Source organism: Homo sapiens, chromosome 17 (assembly GCF_000001405.40).
Source record: "Homo sapiens chromosome 17, GRCh38.p14 Primary Assembly".
NCBI lineage: Eukaryota > Metazoa > Chordata > Mammalia > Primates > Hominidae > Homo > Homo sapiens.
Window position 1 is genome coordinate 26,980,767 of NC_000017.11, and position 4,967 is coordinate 26,985,733.

At 48.3% G+C, this 4,967-nt stretch overlaps 1 pseudogene; it reads left to right on the top strand.

Annotated features, from left to right (window-relative positions):
- On the top strand, positions 926-1,516 carry LOC100422478 (potassium inwardly rectifying channel subfamily J member 12 pseudogene; annotated as a pseudogene).

The window sequence follows — 4,967 nt, forward strand, 5'->3', positions numbered from 1 at the left end:
TAAATTCGAACACTTACCCCAAAGCATACAAAAATAGTAACTCAAAGGAATTAAAGACATACATGCAAGAGCTAGAATAAAGCATATGGGAAAATCTTCAGGATTTTGGATCTAGCAAAGAAATAGCTGTAACACCAAAAACATGAGCAACAAAATAAAAATTAGATATTTAAAATTTCTTAAAAATTAAAGACATTGGTGTTTCAAAGGACAACCAAGCAAGTCAAAAGGCAGCTCAAAAATTGTGAGAAAATATTTGAAAAACACATATCTATATGTCTGTATATATACGTATCTTGAATATAGAAAACCTGTTTTAACTCAGTAACAAATATCCCAACTCAAAACTGATAAATGATGGGAATAGATGTATTTCCCAAGAAGATACACGAACGGTCAATAATCTCATAAAAAGATACTCAATAGCATCACTCATCAGGCAACTACAAATCAAAACCACAGTTAGATACTCTATGGCTACAACTGGCCACTTTGGAAAATAGTTTGATGGCTTCTAAATATATTACATATAGAATTGTCATATGACCCAGAAATTTATTCCTAGGTATACACCCAGATTATTGGAAAGAGGTGTTAAACACAAATTGTACACAAGTACTTTTAGCAGCAGTATTTAAAATAGCCAAAGGCTGAACACAACTCAAATGTCAATAAAAATATTATTGGGTAAACAAAATGTTATATCCATGAAATTGAATATTATACAGTTATAAAAAGAAATAAAGTACCAATACGTACATGAAACTTGATAGCATTATGCCAACTGAAAGAAGCCAGGCACAAAAGGCCACCTATTGTATGATTCTATTTAGATTGAAAATAGAATAGGAAAATCTATAGAGACAGAAAACAGATTTGTGGTTGCTTAGGATTGAGTAGGGGATGGGTGCATAGGAGGTTAACAGCCTGGACCGCATCTTTCTGGTGTCGCCCATCACCATCCTGCACGAGATTGACGAGGCCAGCCCGCTCTTCGGCATCAGCAGGCAGGACCTGGAGACGGACGACTTTGAGATCGTGGTCATCCTGGAAGGCATGGTGGAGGCCACAGCCATGACCACCCAGGCCCGCAGCTCCTATCTGGCCAATGAGATCCTGTGGGGTCACCGCTTTGAGCCCGTGCTCTTTGAGGAGAAGAACCTGTACAAGATCGACTACTCGCACTTCCACAAGACCTATGAGGTGCCCTCTACGCCCCGCTGCAGCGCGAAGGATCTGGTGGAGAACAAGTGCCTGCTGCCCAGCGCAACTCCTTCTGCTACGAGAACGAGCTGGCCTTCCTGAGCCGTGACGAGGAGGATTAGGCGGACGGAGACCACGACGGCCGAAGCCGGGACGGCCTCAGCCCCCAGGCCAGGCATGACTTAGACTCCAGGCTGGCGACGGGGCCCTGGAGCAGCGGCCCTACAGACGGGAGTCAGAGATCTGAGCCAACCTTGGCCGACATGCAGCATCCACCCCCAGCCGGGGAGAGGCTCCGCGGTCGCTCAGGGGCATGACCCTATGCCAGTCCTGGAGCCACCCAGAGAGGACATCTGAGGACTCTGAAGACCTTGGCTGCACTAACTTCTCTGTGCCTGTTCTCTCCTCTGTAAAATGGGGCTGATGATCATAAAGCCACAGGTAAGAAGTAGGCAACCGCCTATTGCAGCACGTGGCACATGGGCACTGCCTGAGCACCAGCTTTCCTCTCTTGCTGCCGTGATCTAGGGGTACAGGCATCCCAGGTGGGGCAACACTGGACTGGTGCTGTGGCTGGAGGAGAAAGGGAAGGCCAGTGGGGCTGGGCCAGTTAGAGCCAGGGAGGAGGAATAGGCTGGGGCTGCAGCTGGGATCTGCTGACTCCAAGTGTGATGGGAGCAAGGAAGACCCCTGACATGTTTGATTTTTCAGGATCATTCCTGTTGCCATGTAGGAAGCAGGCCAGGGAGGAGGGCCCTGGGACTAGGGTAGGAGGCTGACTGTGCAGCCCAAGAAGGAGCCCGAGGAAACATCGTGGCATCCAGGCTGGTCTGTGGACTTGGGTGGGAGCAGCCAGGCAGATGGGGAGGACTAGGGAGGAGAAGCTTGCGGAGAGTGATGGCCTCTCTGGATGCTTTAAAATGCAAACAAAGGCACAGCCACTTTGGAGGTTGGTTAGCAGGATCTAAGCCAACTGGGGCCAAAACATGGTGGCATCTGTCTCCACTCACTCCACTCCACTCAAGCCCTCCAGGCCATTCCCATGGCACTGACTGATAGGCATGAGGCCCTGGCCCCAGTTGGCGCTCAACAAATGCTTTATTCTTGATAAAGTTAAACATACACTTGTCAGACGATCCCACCTTTTGTCAACTAGGTACTACTCAAGAGAAATGAGACTCATGTTCACACAAAAACTTGTAAGTGGATGTTTATAGCAGTGTTACTAGTAATCACCCAAACAAGGAAGTGACCCACATGTGCCTCACCTGGTGAGGGGACAAGCAAGCCGTGGCCCACCCCGAGATGGAAGCATCCCAAGCAGGGAGAAGGGAGGTTATTGACACCTGGCACCACAAACATGTCCCAAAGGAAGCGGCTGAGCAGAAGGAGCCAGGCCCCACCACTTCCTGCTGTGGGTCCCACACGTGTCCATGGAAGCTGTGAACGGGGTAGGGGATGGAGAACACATCCTTAGCTGCCAGGGGCTGATGGTGGAGGTGTGGTTACCACGAGGGACAGGAGGCAGTTTTGGGGCTTTGTGTCTTGATCATGGCTACACGGATATGTGCACTTTGTCAAAACTCACAGGAGGGTGCACAGCAAAGGATGAGTATAGGTACATTACACCTTAAATTTTTTTTAAGTGGGGAAAGAAAAAGAAGTTGCCACAAAAGCCTTGTATGTTGAGCCACCAGCCTGTGTGGATTTCAGAACATTGGAGGAGAGGTCGGGTCTGTAGGTTGAGACTGGGTAGTCACCAGCTGTGGATGGAGTCAAGTGACTGAGAGATTAAAGACACCAGACATCTAGACACCGAGGATGTGGCAAGGCGAGGTTGGGAGAGGGCATGGAGGTGGAAGGCATTGGGACTGACAGAGGCAAATTGGCAGGAAGATTGACACACAGATAAAAAGAGATGGTTGGATGAGCAGAAAGTCAGGCAGAGAGACAGACGTGGACTAACAGACAGGCAGAAAGTGGAAACAGAGACAAATATCCACTAACCAAGCAACACATAGACAGAAAGATGCTGTAAAGATAGAAAGTTGTGTAAGTGGATGGTTGGAGCTAAGGGTAGCTCTCAGGTGGACACAGACAGAAATGCAGACAGATGTCTTGGCTTATGAGTGCATGAACAGCCTGCCCTGATTTTCTGGGGCATTCTGCTAGATCTTGGATCTATGGTGTTGGCATTGACTTACGTCCTCTTTGGAGTCAGAGATGACTCCTCTCGCTCAGTGCCCTGCACCACACTTCCCTTCAGCTGGGCCGGCCACTGCTGCACAAGTGGCTGCAGAAATCCCTCCTGGCAGGGACTAAGGAAGGCAGCCTGGGCTGCTGTGCACCCCAGGCCATTTTCTGAGTTGGGAAAAGGTTGCTGTCCAGGTGGTGTGGTCCGTGTAAAGGCAGTAAAGGGTTTCAAGAGGCCTGTCAGTGCATATCATCTGGAGTAGGGTGTGTGCTGGGGAGCAGGGAGGAGGAGGAGAGAGAAAGCAGGAAACTTTGAGCTTGCCTGAGGAAGACCATCCGCATGGATTGTGAAGGATGGCTCATATTGACTGTATTTTCATTCAAATGTGCAAAACTATTTACTGAATTTTTTTTACTGACTGAAAATAACTCCTGACTTACAGAATATTTTCATTTCCAAGTTACACTTTACCCTGAGTTACATAGCAGGGGCATCCGTAGTGATTCTGCACCCCACACCCTCACCAGCCCCTGGAAGACACTGGCTGGCCCTTGGCTGAAATGACCCAAATCAAAAGCCCTTGCCTTTTTGCTAATGGGCGTTGGGGAGATTGACCAGCAAAGAGCTATGGACAAGAAGCAGGACTGTACATATAAAAAGGACAAAAATCAGAGCCCAGTCCCAGGCCTGGGCAGCTCCCGTCAGCGTCCCATCCCCCTTGCTCTGAACCAGCTGTGGCCCACACTTTTTCCCATGGTCATGCCTGGGAAATGAAGGTGCGGGGACATGCAGGCGAGCTGGGGCGTGGAGTCACATCTGTTTCCAGAACATTCATGCTAAGGGAGGAACAGGGTCCGCATTGGAGAACATGGGGCGGGTGGCTGGAAAAAGGGAAGCTAGAGCCACTTTTATTGTTTCCTGGGGTAACAGAAAACTTGGAGCCGCAAGTGAGTCCTGGGAGAGTTTGGGTTAACTGGCCCCGAAGCCATCCTGTGTGTGTGTGTGTGTATGTGTGTGTGTGTGTGTGTGTGTGTGTGTGTATGTGTGTTCCACTATGTGTTTTTCCCTGTGTGGCCTCTGTGTGTGTGTGTTTGCCTGAACTGGTTTCAGTGGTGAAAATCCTGGTGCTGACATGGACAGAATCCATGAAAGCATTTCGAGTCCTAAGTCAGCTGACCTATGTTGGGATGTGGCACATGTTGCATCGTCTGCCTTTGAAAAGGGATTTTCTGCGAGGGCTTGCAATGAAGGCACTCTGATCAGAAAATGGCGGAAGGAAGTCATGCCCCCAAAAGGAGCCATTAGTGAATCCCACTATTAATTGTTAAGTCGTAGATTCTGGGCTCAATACTGCCATTTTCATGATGTTCAAGTGATATAAAGGGCCAAACAATGTGAATCTCAAAACTAATGTGGGAATAGAATACTTCCTGCTCTTTGACTGTTTGACTAAGCACATACATCAACCTTTCCATATTTTTATTTATTTTATTCTGGCTTGTTTTGGATTTAAGGGGAAACTTTCATGATAATTTTACCCTGAAGCCATTTTCCTGGAATGTGTCTAGGC